Source organism: Homo sapiens, chromosome 14 (genome assembly GCF_000001405.40).
Source record: "Homo sapiens chromosome 14, GRCh38.p14 Primary Assembly".
NCBI classification, from domain to species: Eukaryota; Metazoa; Chordata; class Mammalia; order Primates; family Hominidae; genus Homo; species Homo sapiens.
Window position 1 is genome coordinate 64,448,580 of NC_000014.9, and position 16,199 is coordinate 64,464,778.

The following is a 16,199-nucleotide window of genomic DNA, read 5'->3' on the forward strand; positions in this document are numbered from 1 at the left end:
TTCCTTTTTCATCTTTAGAGGCCTTTTATGCTAACAGAAGGTCATAGGCCTATAGTGTTCCATTATTTTACTAGATCTGGTGGGATGTTGTCTTGACAAAGAATTGGGCATATTACTCTGGAAGGGGTCATGCAAGAACTTGTGTGGGTTGTTTAGGTATTGCATTGGTGGTCAGGGTTTTGTTATAATGGCCTCACCGTAGTAGAATGGGAAGCAAAAAATCTTTTTTTTTTTTTGGGGGACGAAGTCTGTCTCTGTTGCCCAGGCTGGAGTGCAGTGGCACGATCTCCACTCGCTGCAAGCTCTGCCTCCCGGGTTCATGCCATTCTCCTGCCTCAGCCTCCCTAGTAGCTGGGACTACAGGTGCCTGCCACCATGCCCAGCTAATTTTTTGTATTTTTAGTAGAGACGGGGTTTCACCGTGTTAGCCAGGATGGTCTCGATCTCCTGACCTCGTGATTCTCCCACCTCGGCCTCCCAAAGTGTTGGGATTACAAGTGTGAGCCACCGCGCCCAGCCAGCAAAATTCTTAAATGCTAGTATTTACTGATTCCTTCTGGAGTGCTGGGAATTTTCCAAGTATTTTACATGGATTTACCATCTGAGTCTCATAACGTCCCAATGAAATAAGTGCTGTGATTATTCGCGTATTACCAGGGTGGAAATTGAGGCACATAAAGATTAGGTAACTGGCCAAAAGTCACCAGCTAGTAAGTTTCGGAGCTGAGATTCAAACCCAGGCCAAATTTCTTGGTTAGTGTTCGTTTATCAGTGGGTAATTCACATGAGGTTTAATGGCAAAAAGAAGACAATTCTGTCTCTCCAGCCATTTTCCATGCTTTGATATGAAATGCTTCCTTTATAGGACGGATACAGAGTCTGAGCTGGACCTCATCAGCCGCCTTTCCAGAGAACATGGGGCTTTTGATGCCGTGAAGTGCACTCACTGGGCAGAAGGGGGCAAGGGTGCCTTAGCCCTGGCTCAGGCCGTCCAGAGAGCAGCACAAGCACCCAGCAGCTTCCAGCTCCTTTATGACCTCAAGGTGGGTGATTTGCTGTCTGCAAAAAAAGAAAAAAGACGAAAAGGGCACAGTGAAGTTTCTGTGTGGCTACTTCTATTAGAGCCCCATGCTTCGCAGCTTCAGCCTTGCGGTTTGATTCCCACGTAGGTGACTTACACAACCACAGCCTGGACTCCCAGCTGTAGACAGCCTTCTTTTTATTTTTGAGACGGAGTCTTGCTCTTTTGCCCAGGCTCGAGTGCAGAGGCATGATCTCAGCTCACTGCAACCTCTGCCTCCTGGGTTCAAGTGATTCTCCTGCCTCAGCTTCCCAAGTAGCTGGGATTACAGGCGTCTGCCACCGTGCCCAGCTAATTTTTCTTATTTTTTTAGTAGAGATGGGGTTTCACCATCTTGGCCAGGCTGGTCTCGAACTCCTGACCTCGTGATCCACCTGCCTTGGCCTCCCAAAGTGCTGGAATTACAGGCGTGAGCCACTGCGTCCGCCCAGACAGCCTTCTTATAAACATATGCCACTGCTTACTTACAGAGGGGATTTAAGCAGGAATACCCCAGGGTGGAGGGGGAACCGTTGCTCATATCCTAACTTCGAAAAGGGTCAAAGTACAGGTGGCAGAAGAGAAGGTTACATATAGACCAAATATGTAATTCACTGTAGCCTTTAAAACAAGGCACCAACCATGTAGCAGATTGGTAAGGGGCTGCATCGAGCTTACAAAATTTTTCTGATGGCTTTTCAGTAATAGGGGAAAGAAGTGTGCCCCCACGTTCACTTCCTGGTAAGGTGCTGCCTCAAGTTGAGGGCCCTCACATGCAAAACCAAAGTACTCCAGGAAGCTTCATCATTTTTTCCATCACTAAGCAAATTAAATTACACCTGGTCTAAGTAGAGCCCTGCTTACTCTATGATACAATAAAGTTAGTTCAGGAAAAGGTTCTTATTATAGGGTTGTGTTTTGTTTTCATTTATCTGTCCAGTGTATTTCAGGATGTGATTTGACATTAAGTAGTATGGAAACAACAACTGGAAACTTTGTTAGGAATATGAGATATATGCTGTAGTTAATTTTTCCTATTCTCTAGGCTAGTTTCTGGCTTGATTTTTTTGTTTTGTTTTTTGTTTTAAGACAGGGTCTTGCTCTGTTGCTCAGGCTGGAGTGCAGTGGTACAATCATGGCACACTGCAGCCTCAACCTCCTGGACCCAAGTGGTCCTCCCACCTCAGCCCCCTGAGTAGGTGGGACCACAGACATGTACTACCAAGCCTGGCTAATTTGTTTTATTGGCCAGGCACAGTGGCTCACCCCTGTAACCCCAGCACTTTGGGAGGCCGAGGTGGGTGGATCACCTAAGGTCAAGAGTTGGAGACCAGCCTGGCCAACATGGTGAAACCCCATCTCTACTAAAAATACAAAAAATTAGCTGGGTGTGGTGGCAGGCACCTGTAATCCCAGCTACTTGGAAGGCTGAGGCAGGAGAATCGCTTGAACCCGGGAGGCGGACGTTGCAATGAGCTGAGATCACTGCACTCTAGCCTGGGCAACAAGTGCGAAACTTCGTCTCAAAAAAAAAATTTTGTTTTATTTTATTTTATTTTTCTTGTAGTGACTGGGTCTCCCTATATTGCTCAGGCTGGTCTCGAACTCCTGGGTTCAAGTGATCCTCCTGCCTCAGCCTCCCAAAGTGCTGGGATTATAGGCATGAGCCAATGTGCCTGGCCTGGCTTGGTTTTTAATAGATAATCATAGACTTTCAAAAACAGCCATAAAAAAGCAGAAGGAATAAACTTATTACTCTTGAGTTTTAGTGTTCTCTTATTTCTCTTTGCCCCTTGCAGATATAATACACTTACAGTTAATTAACATTGACATTGACATTCTCCTGTTGAGCTTTGATTTTATAGGCAAGTTTTAAAATCTGTTCAGCAATCATCCTTTTAGAAAAATGCCATAAACACAAATTTGCACACAAATGCAAAGCATTTATAGGCACCCTCTCCAGGCTCCAATGCATAGCACCCAAGGCTGGAAGCCCAGTCCTTGAAAACCAGCAGGAGACCTGAAAGAGCAGGGACATATGGACTTTAGAACCCATTTCTACTTGCAACTTTTATCCATTCTGGCAAACAGGAGGCTGCCACTTTTTGTCTTACTCAGCGTCTGCTAGTCTTAAATCACCCTTCAACCAAAGTGCTTTTGCTTCAGAAGTTCTAAATGTGCCTTGGCATTTATAGAGCTCCAGTTATGAGATGCATATGAAAATAATCTGTGTTTCATCTTTATAAAGTCCTTATTGAATGTTCACTTTATTCATGCCCATTATATAAAGCCCCTTCATAAATTATCATTGTTTAGTTCAAAAGGGAATTTTTGTTTTTATAGATAGATTATTGCTCCTTTTAAAAACAAAACTTGGCTGGGCGCTGTGGTCACACCTGTAATCCCAGCACTTTGGGAAGCTGAGGTGGGTGGATCACCTAAGGTCAGGAGTTCGAGACCAGCCTGACCAAGATGGTGAAACTCCGTCTCTACTAAAAATATAAAATTAGCCAAGCATGGTGGCCCATGCCTGTGATCCCAGCTACTTGGGAGGCTGAGGCAGGAGAATCTCTTGAACCCGGGAGGCGGAGGTTGCAGTGAGCTGAGATGACGCCATTGCACTCCAGCCTGGGCAACAAGTGCAAAACTCTGTCTCAAATAAATAAGAACCTGCCTAATATGTTCTTTTAGCTTTAGTTGCTATAAAGACAGATATATTGCCTAATTTTTGTAATTTGCTCATCCAAATTACCCATGAGTAGCTTTGCTTCTGATTTCCTTTAGGCAACCTCTCCGTATGCTGTTCTCTTTGAATCTTAATGCCCTGAACTAGTCTACACAGCATTTAAGAAGCCAGCTCCACTTCTCTGAAGGCTTTGCCCCGGAGGAAACAGCCCATGGGACTGAGGCCCTCACCAGTTAGACCACTGGTCTCTGTCCACTGCACTGTTTGCTTCAGGTGCCACAGAAAGTGGACATGCCCAATGCGTGTTGATCATGTAAATCACTGGGTTGTTTTTTCTAATACCTGGGTGATTTTGATTTTATGACTATTTCCTAATTCCTGGTGCTTGCACTTAATCAATTGTGTTAAGGGTGGCATCTGCCTCTCATATACAGACTGGGAGTTATGTAGATGGACATTGGTTGTCTTATTTCATAAACAGTGTCCCCAGGTCTGGTTTGACAGGACTGATCTCCAGTATTAGAATAGAACATCTACTTTTTAATTTTTATTATTATTTTAAAATTTTTATTTTTTAAAGAGACAGAGTGTTGCTATGTTGCCCAGGCTGGTTTCAAACTCCTGGGCTCAAGTGATCCTCCTGCCTTGGCCTCCTCCCAAAGTGCTGGGATTACAGGGATGAGCCACCATACCCAGCCTGAACATCTACTTTTTATTTATGAAGAAATAATTATTCTTGGGTAGTCAGCAACACTGTTTATGATGTACTTAGCGAGAGATTTTAAATATGTACTTATGTAAGTATATATTTAAAACCTTAATATATATTAATATGTGTATCTATATCTATATATATATGTATGTGTGTATATGTATATCTGCATATATAGATATAAAAACTTTACCTCTGTGGGACATTTTCACTTATAAAATCTGAGGCTTGATATTAAAAGAAAGTGTTCCTGGCTGGGTGCAGTGGCTCACACCTGTAATCCCAGCACTTTGGGAGGCCAAGGCTGGCAGATCACCTGAGGTTGGGAGTTCAAGACCAGCCTGACCAACATGGAGAAACTCCGTCTCTACTAAAAATACAGAATTAGCCGGGCTTGGTTGCGCATGCCTATAATCCCAGCTACTCGGGAGGCTGAGGCAGGAGAATCGCTTGAACCTGGGAGGCAGGGGTTACAGTGAACTGAGATCGCGCCATTGCACTCCAGCCTGGCAACAGAGCGAAACTCCGTCTCAAAAAAACAAAAAGAAAGTGTTCTTAACCCAATCATCAACCTCAAACTATTTGCTTATGTATATGTATATAAAAACCATCTTCTGCCCCTTTTAGGGACTCTGACCTAGAATGTGGCTATGTCCTGGTTAAATGTCCTCACATGTGTCCAGTCATGGTGTCCCCATCTCTTTCTTGTGCATTAGCTCCCAGTTGAGGATAAAATCAGGATCATTGCACAGAAGATCTATGGAGCAGATGACATTGAATTACTTCCCGAAGCTCAACACAAAGCTGAAGTCTACACGAAGCAGGTAGATGTTTGGTTAGTTTGTCCTTTCAACTCTTTGCAAAGCAGGACTTGGAGTCACAATCTCTGGGTCCTCCCAGCCCTGCCAAGTACCCGTTGCTTCACTTCTCTGGGTGGCAGCCTTCTCTCCTCTGAAATACTGAGTTTGGATTAGGTGGCACAGTCCCTGGTTCTTTATTTACCCATAGGCGTTATATGAATGTGTAGAAATCCATGAGGAAATACAGAATGTCTTACCAAAATATTGAGAACGTCTCCAGTTTTTGTTATTTTGAGATAGGGTCTGGCTCCATTGCCCAGGCTAGAGTGCAGTGGCACAATTTCAGCTCACTGCAGCCTCTGACTCCTAGGCTCAAGCGATCCTCCCACCTCAGCCTCCTGAGTAGCTGCGCCTACAGGCACGCACCACCACACCTGGCTAATTTTTGTGTTTTTTGTTGAGATGGGGTTTTGCCCTGTTGCCCAGGCTGGTCTTGAACTCCTGGGCTCAAGCAGTCCACCCATCTCAGTCTCCCAAAGTGCTGGAATTTATAGGCATGAACCACTGCACCTGACCCTCTCCAATTTTATTCTCATATCTACTCCAAACTATTATTTTAAATTAGTTTTATGTTATTTCCATAGATGGAAATAAAATATTCACTTGTGGACTACAGTTGTGAGTACCTAACTCCCTCACCCAACAGTTCTTTTTTTTTTTTTTTGGCTTAATAAATAAGCTGGAGGACAGCAAGATAGAGATGTATATAAAGGGAGTTGGATGTTTCGAATAAATTGAAGAATCCATGTAATCACAGGGCCCAGATGGTCATTGCTGGGTTGTCATCTTTTCATTTGTCCTCCCTCTCTTCCCTTCTTTCCCCAGGGCTTTGGGAATCTCCCCATCTGCATGGCTAAAACACACTTGTCTTTGTCTCACAACCCAGAGCAAAAAGGTGTCCCTACAGGCTTCATTCTGCCCATTCGCGACATCCGCGCCAGCGTTGGGGCTGGTTTTCTGTACCCCTTAGTAGGAACGGTAAGTGCATGCTGCAAGGGAGTAGTGGGCGCATCTGCACTTCTCGTCTGAAGTGTGTTGCCGAAACCATCAAGCAAATGCCAAGTGAGCAGAGTTCACTGCCCAGAAGAAAATTGGAATCGGGCCTATTATGATTGCTGTGGATCATAAGCTATAAAGCAGGAGCTATATAGCTCTTGCTGTGGACCATCTTGGTGTCAAATCAAGAATGATGCCAGGACTACTCATACTGAATAAAAAATTCTGTTTCCCAGGGACAGTATGCTCTTCACTGAATCTAGGATGAGCCCAGTTGATAGGCTGGGGTAGTGCTAACATAATCACAGTTAATGTTTATTGGGAGCCTTACATAGATTAACTCAGTCCCCCCACAGCCCTAGGAGGTAGGGACAGAGGTTTTACTGACAGGCCTAGAACTTACGTCTGAAATTCAGGGGGTTCATTATTTTTAAGTAAGGAATTTCCCCATTAAAAAATGCAAATGGACCCTTGAGATATGAAAGGTGAGGTTGCTTATTTACGCTTCAAGGTGAACAAGGTGTCCATTGCTTTCTTATCTTACAGATTTTATGCATATTCAAAGAAGAATATTGCCAGTTGGGAAGCAGAGGGGAGGGATGCTTAAGGACATAATCATAGTTTGGGCTGACATTGTTCCAAGGTTAACTTGGATCCTGAATCTAGGTTATCCCCTAAATCTGCCCTGTATCCTGTATCTACAGATTGTACTGCCATGCAATACAGGACTGAAATATTAAACTAAATCAACACACATGGAAAAGAAACCAACATACATCCTTTTGGATTTATGTCATTCTTTCAGTATAGTAAGAAAGTGGTAGGAGGTGGCATTATAGAGTTGAAAACGTAGGACATTAGAGCTGAATTCATTTTCACCTCTTCAGATCTTGGCCTTGGGCAAATTATGAAAGGTGAGAGCCCTGCTGCCCTCAGCTCACACTGTAGGCAACATCATCACATCACAGTGGTGCTTAGCACAAATGCCTGCATCTCACTGCCTCCTTAGCTCTCTATAGAGAGCAGAAGGCTTAGACTTGCTATGATGTACATCAGTCTCCAGGATTTGTAGAAATCCCTTGTGGTAGGAATTTTCCACCATTTTTACCCAGCACCTTGAATAGTGCAGAAATATGTGTTGTTCTTTTTGGAGAAGTTGTCAGCAGCTACCAGCTGAAAGACGGGTAGCTGTACTCTTTCTTGTCACTTTTGATCTTCACATGAAGAAAAGGGTAACAGTAGAGGTGAAAGCAAATCTGGAAGCAGTCAGGCCAGTGAGAGTCAGGCTGTAAGGTGGAGAGAGACACAGCCTGCCGAACTCAAGACTTTCTCATTTAGAACAAAGTATGTGTCAGAGGCTTTTAACTTTAAGTTGGACCAAGGCGTTTCCACACATGATCAAATGGTTTAATCACTATTCTAACACCTTCCAGTTGCCGTTGGGGCCTTAACGAGACTCAGATTATTTGAATATTTTCTATATTAATTCAAAGTGTGATGGCTTATTTTCAGAACTTTATATCTAGGTTCATACATGTGCGTACACATAATATTGTCTTTTTTTGTATTTTTTCTGATTATCAGTGACCAGTGTTTAGGAGGGAAAATCCTCTTGGGGAATGAGTGAAAATATCAAAAATCCTACTCATCACTGTTTAGGGAACCATCTTTAGGGTTTTCTGCTGACATGCACATGCCCGTCTACAACAATGGGCATGTGTCTTTTATCTTTATAATGTCATCTTCCGGTTTTTCTGCTGTGTCTAAGGACCCATCCTTTCCTCTCTCCTACTTGTCTCACACCTAGCACCTCCTTACCTCTTACACAATATAAGAATATAAACCAGTTGTCAGATCCCTATAATGTGTTTTGGGGAATATTGATTGGTACTCAGAAGTCAGTCAGAATGAGGTTTTCTAAAGTATTGATGATGTTTTGTGTTACAGAAGATGACTCTTTTTAAATAACCTTTTTATAGTTAAGTTTTAGAAGTAACCTAAGCTGTTTTCCTGTCTAGATTTGATTTGGAACTTGTGTGTATTCATTATATAGGACATTGTTACAGATAAAAATATACGGAGTTTTCACTTGCAAGCCGTACATATTTGCATCTAAGTAGAAATTTGTCAAAGCCGAGTCTTTAGAAAAGTAGTGAGTACAAATATAATTTGTAAGCATTACAAGTTTAGTTTTAGAAGGCCATTTTGGGCCAGTAAGAATGGTGATTATAAAACCATCTAGATTATGTACAAAAGTGTCTTGGCCCAAGTTAAAGGATACTAACTCCTACCATCGTGTTGCTGAAGCAAAAATCACATGGGCAGCTCAGCTAGCAAGACTGAACGAAACAAAATTTAAAAGCAGGCAAGCCCTGTACCTCCTTTTGGTCTTGCAAAGCGTGAGCTGAGGAGGCGAGTGAGCAACTCCTCTACTCCCCAGCACTCATTCTTGTAAGGTGAAGGTGGAAACACCTCCTGCTACTGCTTGTGACCACATGGAAGATGATAGTGAAGGCTGGCATTTGGTTTGCAGAAGGACATGAGGAATCAGTTTCTTTTCTTTTCCTTTTTTTTTTTTTTGAGATGGAGTCTTGCTCTGTCACCCAGGCTGGAGTGCAGTGGCAAGATCTCGGCTCACTGCAACCTCCGCCTCCCAGGTTCAAGCGATTCTCCTGCCTCAGCCTCCCAAGTAGCTGGGATTACAGGCACACGCCACCATGCCCAGCTAATTTTTGTATTTTTAGTAGAGATGGGGTTTCACCATGTTGGTCAGGCTGGTCTCAAATTCCTGACCTCAGGTGATCCATCTGCCTTGGCCTCCCAGAGTGCTAGGATTATAGGCATGAGCCACCACGCCCGGCAGGGATCAGTTTCTGAGTTTTTTAACAGGATCAGTGACTTGATTTTTAATATGTAACAAGAGTACCCACTTTATTGACAACTATAAAATGATGTTCTATCTTTATGCCTTGGGCTTTCTTTCTGAAGGAAAAGTGAAAGTAAAGATGACTTTACGTTTATTTTAGACATGGCCTTGCTCTGTCGCCCAGGCAATCGGATGATCATGGCTCACTGTGGCCTCAACCTCCTAGCCTCAAGCAATCCTCCTGCCTTAGCATCCCAAGTAGCTGGAACTACAGGCACATGCCATCATATCCAGCTAATTTTTTATTTCCTGTAGAGATGGGGGTCTCACTATGTTGCCCAGGGTGGTTTAGAACTCCTGGCCTCAAGTGATCCTCTCCACCTCAGCCTGGGATTATAGGCGTGAGCCACTGTGCCCAGCATTAGTTTATTTGTAATGCTTTTTTACATCCTAGATGAGCACAATGCCTGGACTCCCCACCCGGCCCTGTTTTTATGATATTGATTTGGACCCTGAAACAGAACAGGTGAATGGATTATTCTAAACAGGTAAGTTGTTACTGGGTAATAATTTGGCTTTTTTCCTCATGTAGCTTATTTATGAATTATAGGGCTCAAACTGACGCTATAAAAATTCACATTCTAATGCTTTCAAAACATTTCTTTTCAGACTTCCCTGAGGGGAGAGGGGATAGTAATGAGAGTTGGCAATAACCAATGAATTGAAATATTTATATTTCAACACATTTTTGGAAGAAGCGCAGCATGGCTTGTCACAGGTTGACAGTGTAGGGGAGAAAACTGCTGTCCAATAAACTACAGAGGAAACTACAGGAGAGGTTAGACTCCCTCTGCTGAAGCCCCAGGAGGCTTGGGGTTCAGAGTTGATGACACATTGCAGGTCAGGAACAGCTGACGGTCTGTATACTCTGAATAGGTAGTTAGAAGGCAAGAATTAGCAAATGTCTTAGGAAGTATAATAGAAAAGAGAAGGAAACAGGACCAATCTGGCAGTTCTTAGGGCCTTAGGTGAAAGGGCCCTGAGTACCGACTGCAATGAGTGACATTGCATTGTTTGATATTTTTGAAATTTCAACAGGACGTGTCTCTCCTTAGGCAGACCCTTGGGGCTGAAGCAGCAAGTTGCAGTGTGCACTTATATCCCTAGACACATCCTGTTGAAACTGCAAAAATATCAAACATGAAAATCCTAACATCTTTCTCCAGAGACGAAAAAAGTGGCTTGCCTATGAAAAGAATGAGAACTAGACTTAACGCCCGTCTTACTGGCAATAAGAAGCTTTTAGACAATGGAGGAGTGTCCTGTAAGGTCACAGGGAAGATGACTTTCAACATGTGCTCACACCTAGCCGAATCTATCTGGATATTTTCAGACGTGCAAGGGTTTGCCACCCCACATCTCTTCCTAAGAAGTTATTTAGCAATGTACTTAGCAAAATGAGGAATTAACCAAGAAAAAAGGAAGACGTGAGTTTTGGGAAACTGAACCCTCATTTGGACATTAGCGAAGGGGCATTCTGATAACCATGCAAATGACCTGAAGTTACAAATCCTGTGTGGAACAGGTTGGGGGAGCACCTGAGAAAAACTAGAAAAAGCTAGAAAAGACAAGGATATCAAAGGGTCATAGTATAAAACAAAAGCTCTTGCATTATTTGAGAAAGTTAAGGTCCAAGTAGAAGCAAACTGTAGTTTGATGCTAGAACACTATTCTTTGAGAGGGTATGTGTGATACTCGAAATGCAGTCATGGCTCACGGCTTGGTCTGGTCTTGAACAGTATTCACACAGTACTATGGAAATACCATGCATCATTTTCAAGTCCATTTATGGACACGCCCTAGAAGAGCTGGTGGCAGGAAAGGATGTAAATGTTAACAGCTTTGGCAATGTGAGTGGGTAATGGTGCAGTATGGAAGGAACAGGAAACATTTCAGTGCTTGCTTAGAGAAAACATTTATTTCTTGTTTTTCCTTCCAGATCACCATCCATCTTCAAGAAGCTACTTTGAAAGTCTGGCCAGTGTCTATTCAGGCCCACTGGGAGTTAGGAAGTATAAGTAAGCCAAGAGAAGTCAGCCCCTGCCCAGAAGATCTGAAACTAATAGTAGGAGTTTCCCCAGAAGTCATTTTCAGCCTTAATTCTCATCATGTATAAATTAACATAAATCATGCATGTCTGTTTACTTTAGTGACGTTCCACAGAATAAAAGGAAACAAGTTTGCCATCTTGGTGTTGCAATATGAATTACAGCCTTAACAGACTGTGCCACAGGTCTCTGCCATCCTTTGTGAGCTCATTTGTCAGGCAGACCCTTGGGCTGAAGATGCAAGTTGCAGTGTGCCCTTTATGATACTGTTGTGTTTAGAGGGAAATGTATGCATGCTTGTGTATTTCTGAGAGGACACATAATTCAGGGGACCTCCTGAGAGGGTTGGGTTGGAAGTTGATGACTTACCTTTTAATCTTATACCTTTCTATATTGTTGAATTTTGTTTTTCTACCCTGAGGAAGTATTGCTTATACAAGTTTTTGCCTGAACTTCCTTGGAATTCCCATTTCTGTCACAGCTTTAGCACTGTCTATGTTTAGAGTGCTCAAGAAGGATGGTCATGCAGCATTAGCCTTAGGTGAGCCTCTATTCTGTTGGTGCAGCAAGTATTCATTGAGTTTCTTCTAAATGCCTGGGCTCCACCCTTCCCTACAGACTTTTTATTTTTATTTTTATTTTTTTGAGACAGTGTCTCTGTCGCCCAGGCTGGAGTGCAGTGGCGCGATCTCAGCTCACTGCAACCTCCGTCTCCTGGGTTCAAGTGATTCTCCTGCCTCAGCCTCCCAAGTAGCTGGGATTATAGGCATGAGCCACCATACCTGGCCCAGACTTTCTTTTTCCTAAAACATTAGGTTGGTAAAAACCACAATTACTTTTGCACCAACCTAATATTTTTTTTCCTCCTCTTCTGGCTGGGCGTGGAGGTGGCTCATGCCTGTAATCCCAGCACTTTGGGAGGCCGAGGTGGGCGGATCACTTGAGGTCTGGGGTTCAAGACCAGCTTGGCCAACATGGTAAAACCCTGTTTCTACCAAAAATACAAAAATTAGCTGGGTGTGGTGGCAGGCACCTATAACCCCAGGTACTTGGGAGGCTGAGGTACGAGAATTGCTTGAACCCAGGAGGCAGAGGTTGCAGTGAGCCAGGATCATGCTGCTGCACTCCAGCCTGGGAGACAGAGCTAGACTCTGTCTAAAAAAATAAATCAAATATTTTTCCTTCTCTTCTTGTTCTTTATCTTCTATCTCTGTTCTTCCTCTCCCATTTGTTTCCTTCCCTTTTTCCCCTTGTCTCCCTCCACTGGATCCTTCCAGAGGATGCTGCATCCCACTGGCGCCAGTGCTAAACACTGCTGATGTTGGCAAAGCAGTATTTTTCCCAGTGACCTTGGTTTTATTATTTTTAATTCCCTAGGTCCATGTCAATGTTGTAATACAGTCAATTTTACAGTCCACAGAAATGATAGCGCTGCCTTGAGAGGCATATGGCAAAGGGGTCACAGTGCAGAGCCCCAGCTCTATGGCAGAGAGCCTCACCCACCTCCCTGCCTCCACATCCTCACCATGGAAATAGGAGCACTGTTGGTACCTACCTCGTGAGGGCGGTTCTGGAATTACTCAAACACATCATCTAAGATGCTTTGTACAGGGCCTGGCACATTGTAAGCACTTGTCAGTTCCTGTTGCACAGCATCCTCCAGGCCCTGTTTGCAGAGTTAATTGCTTCTGGTACTTTTTTTTTCCTTTTTTTTTTTTTTTTTTGGCAGGGGGGGTAGGGGGGTTGGGACAAGAGTCGTGCTCTTTTGCCCAGGCTGCAGTGTAGTGACGTGATCTCAGCTCACTGCAACCTCTGCCTCCCGGGTTCAAGCGATTCTCCCACCTCAGCCTCCCGAGTAGCTGGGATTACAGGTTCGCACCACCATGCCTGGCTAATTTTTTGTATTTTCAGTATAGATGGGGTTTTGCCATGTTGGCCAGGCTGGTCTCAAACTCCTGGCCTCAAGTGATCCTCCCACCTCGGCCTCCCAAAGTGCTGGGATTACAGGCGTGAGCCACTGTGCCCGACCGCTTTCTGGTACATTTCTTAATGTCCTGTGAAACTTCACCTGGAATGGGATTTGCTGGGAATTCATTTTGTAGACAAGGGAAGGATGCAGTCTTGTCAGATATGGTGACTTAAGGATCATCTTAAAGGATTTAGGTTTCCTAATATCGCCAACAGCCACATGGGTTTAAATCCTCAATACTGGTAGGGGCTGGGCATGGTAGCTCACACCTGTAATCCCACCACACTCAGCTGAGTTTTGAAGTTCTGTTTTTTGTAGAGATGGGGTCTCACTGTCTTGTCCAGGCTGCTGAGGCAGGAGGATCACTTGAGCCCAGGAGTTCAAGACTAACCTGGACAAGACAGACCCCATCTCTACAAAAAACAAAACCCCAAAACTCAGCTGAGTGTGTGGTGCACGCTTGTAGTCCTAGCTCCTTGGGAGTCTGATGTGAGAGGTTTGCTTGAGCCTAGGAGTTCGAGGCCGCAGTGAGCTATGACTGAGCCACCGCATTCCAGCCTGAGCAACAGAGCAAGACCCTGTGTCAAAATAAAAAAGACCTATAGAAGCATTAGTGCTTGGGGTAACTATTAGCATGTGCTGGCAGAGAAGGTCTAGTGCCTTTACCTTGGTGCTAAGAGTCCCTCCAGATTAGTGGCTTTCCCGTGCCCTTTCTCTTCTCTGGGCTGCTAATGCCTTCCTTCCCCTTATTAGTAATATTACTGATAAACAAATTGTACATTCTCTGATCTCACTTCAGAGGCTGTTTCTGTGCACTGAAGATGTACACACAGTCTTAATTCAAAAGAGATAGCATTTATGTGCTGCCACATTAAACAGATTGCAACAGTATTACTATTGAGTTTGTGTTGGCTCTGTGCAACCCTCATGGTGCCCAGGAACAGATGAAACCACCAGAGACTTGGAGCCTCAGGTTCATTCAATGGTGTCCCAGGGAACGGGGTTGGAGGGCTTATTCCCAGAAGGCCTCTGAAATGTAAGAGCTATTAACAAGGAGTTATAAGTCATTTTTGGTAGCTATAGGCCCAGGCAATGGGTAGAGATCAAGATGGGATAAATGGTAAGATCAGTAGAGTATTGCTCAGATAAATATGTAAGCTATTTTACTGGCACACTGTATCTAGTGATATTAACATGATAAGCTATAGGTAGGATAATTTCTCATCAGATTGCAGAAATACATTTATAGCCTATTTCCTGTTATATAATGAAAAGCTACTAATGGGGTAGTAGACAATGATATGGGTAATAGCTTAAACAGCCTTCGTTGTCACTTACCTGAATTCAGGAATGACAGGTTTCTTTCATGCATGAGGTACTGGATACATTAAACACACACACACACACACACACACACACACACATATGGCATTGAGTTCTAGTCATATCCTAAAGAAAAACTATGGTGCGCTATGTTATTTATAGTACTATACTCTGTGTGAGTGACTCTGTGTGTATGTGTGTTGGTGGAGGTCAGGGATGACTTGTTTGTAATATACCTTAAGGAAGTCTGTCCGAATTTGCCCTTCAAATACTAAATAAATTCATCTCTCACCTCAAACTGCCTTTCAGTTCCCTTTTACTAATTTTGTTTAAAAGAAAGGCAAGTGAAGGCCAGGCATGGGGGCTCACACCTGTAATCCTAGCACTGTAGGAGGTCAAGGCAGGAGGATCACTTGAGCTCAGGAGTTCAAGACCAGCCTGGGCAACATAGGGAGACGCCATCTCTACAAAAAAAAAAAAAAGAAGAAGAACCTGGGCATGTGGTCGCATACCTGTGGTCCCAGCTGCATGGGAGGCTGAGGTGGGAGGATTGCTTGAGCCAGGGATTGTACCACTGCACTCCAGCCTGAGCAAGACCCTGTCTCAAATAAAAATAAAAATAAGACAGCTATTTTACCCTGTCTTCACCTAAATAAGCTCATCTTATTTTTTGCCTGAAACTCTTGCAAACTCCCAGGTCTGCTAGTTTTGAGAAACCTTGGATCTCAATAAGGAATAGTTCTCAATTGCTTATAAGCATAATGGATTTCTTTTGGCTTAAAGTTCAAAACTGGCAACAAGCAGCGCTAGCAACCCATAGAGAGATACGCAGACCATTTCGATAGACGTGTTTGCTGAGTGAACAAGGCTGACTGAATTTTTTTTTTTTTTTGAGGCAGGGTCTCACTTTGTTGCCCAGGCTGGCGTGCAGTGGTGCAGTAGTGGCTCACAGCAGCCTTGACCTTCTGGGCCCAAGTGATCCTCCCTTCTCAGCCTCCTGAGCTCCTGAGTAACTGGGACCATACGTGCACCACCATGCCCAGCTAATTTTTTAGATTTTTTTGTCTCCCTATGTTGCCCAGGCTGGTCTCAAACTCTTGGACTCAAGCCATCCTCCTGCCTTGGCCTCCCAAAGTGCTGGGATTACAGGTGTGAGCTACTGCGCCCATCCCTGAATTCTTAATTACAACTAAACTAGATGCTTATGGATTTTCCTGTTTTACAACTCTTGCCTCTTTTATCTGTAATTTTAAGATCTTGACAGCTTATATTTGGCTTTGCTTTTGTGTCTCAAGAGTTCTTTCCTTGATAAGCCTCTGTGGAAACTACAGAATCTTACAAATATAAAACATTTCCGGAAAAAATACAAAAATGGACACCTGACATTTACACTCCCTAAGGTCGTGATCCTGTTGAAGAAAGGAGATGAACGCGGCTGCTTTTCAGTAGTTCTTCACTTCACCTTACCAGGTTCTTCATCTGGATGCTATGCTATGGGGGCCAGAGGAGGAGGCTGGGATTGTGATGGATCCTACTAGATTTTACAGCTGGAGCTCCCAGGAATGCCCTCATAGGGAATGTCCTGAAGGGAATCATGGGTAACTTGTAAGCTACCTCAA

At 43.8% G+C, this 16,199-nt stretch overlaps 2 protein-coding genes across 3 annotated transcripts in view; one reads left to right on the plus strand and one right to left on the minus strand.

Annotated features, from left to right (window-relative positions):
• The window catches only part of MTHFD1 (methylenetetrahydrofolate dehydrogenase, cyclohydrolase and formyltetrahydrofolate synthetase 1), a 71,673-nt gene extending 60,227 nt beyond the window's left edge, over window positions 1-11,446 (plus strand). The window contains exons 24-28 of one of the 2 annotated variants that reach the window (NM_005956.4): window positions 866-1,043; window positions 5,175-5,282; window positions 6,144-6,296; window positions 9,635-9,728; window positions 11,180-11,446. In NM_005956.4, coding sequence (NP_005947.3) covers window positions 866-1,043; window positions 5,175-5,282; window positions 6,144-6,296; window positions 9,635-9,724 — 529 coding nt within the window. In that variant the 3' untranslated portion in view covers window positions 9,725-9,728; window positions 11,180-11,446. The remainder of the gene's footprint in view (window positions 1-865; window positions 1,044-5,174; window positions 5,283-6,143; window positions 6,297-9,634; window positions 9,729-11,179) is intronic. The other variant, NM_001364837.1, reaches the window with a different exon arrangement.
• The window catches only part of ZBTB25 (zinc finger and BTB domain containing 25), a 56,108-nt gene continuing 40,435 nt past the window's right edge, over window positions 527-16,199 (minus strand). Inside the window, exon 3 of the mRNA NM_001304508.1 lies at window positions 527-1,059. Within this exon, the coding sequence (NP_001291437.1) occupies window positions 972-1,059 (88 nt within the window). The 3' untranslated portion in view covers window positions 527-971. The remainder of the gene's footprint in view (window positions 1,060-16,199) is intronic.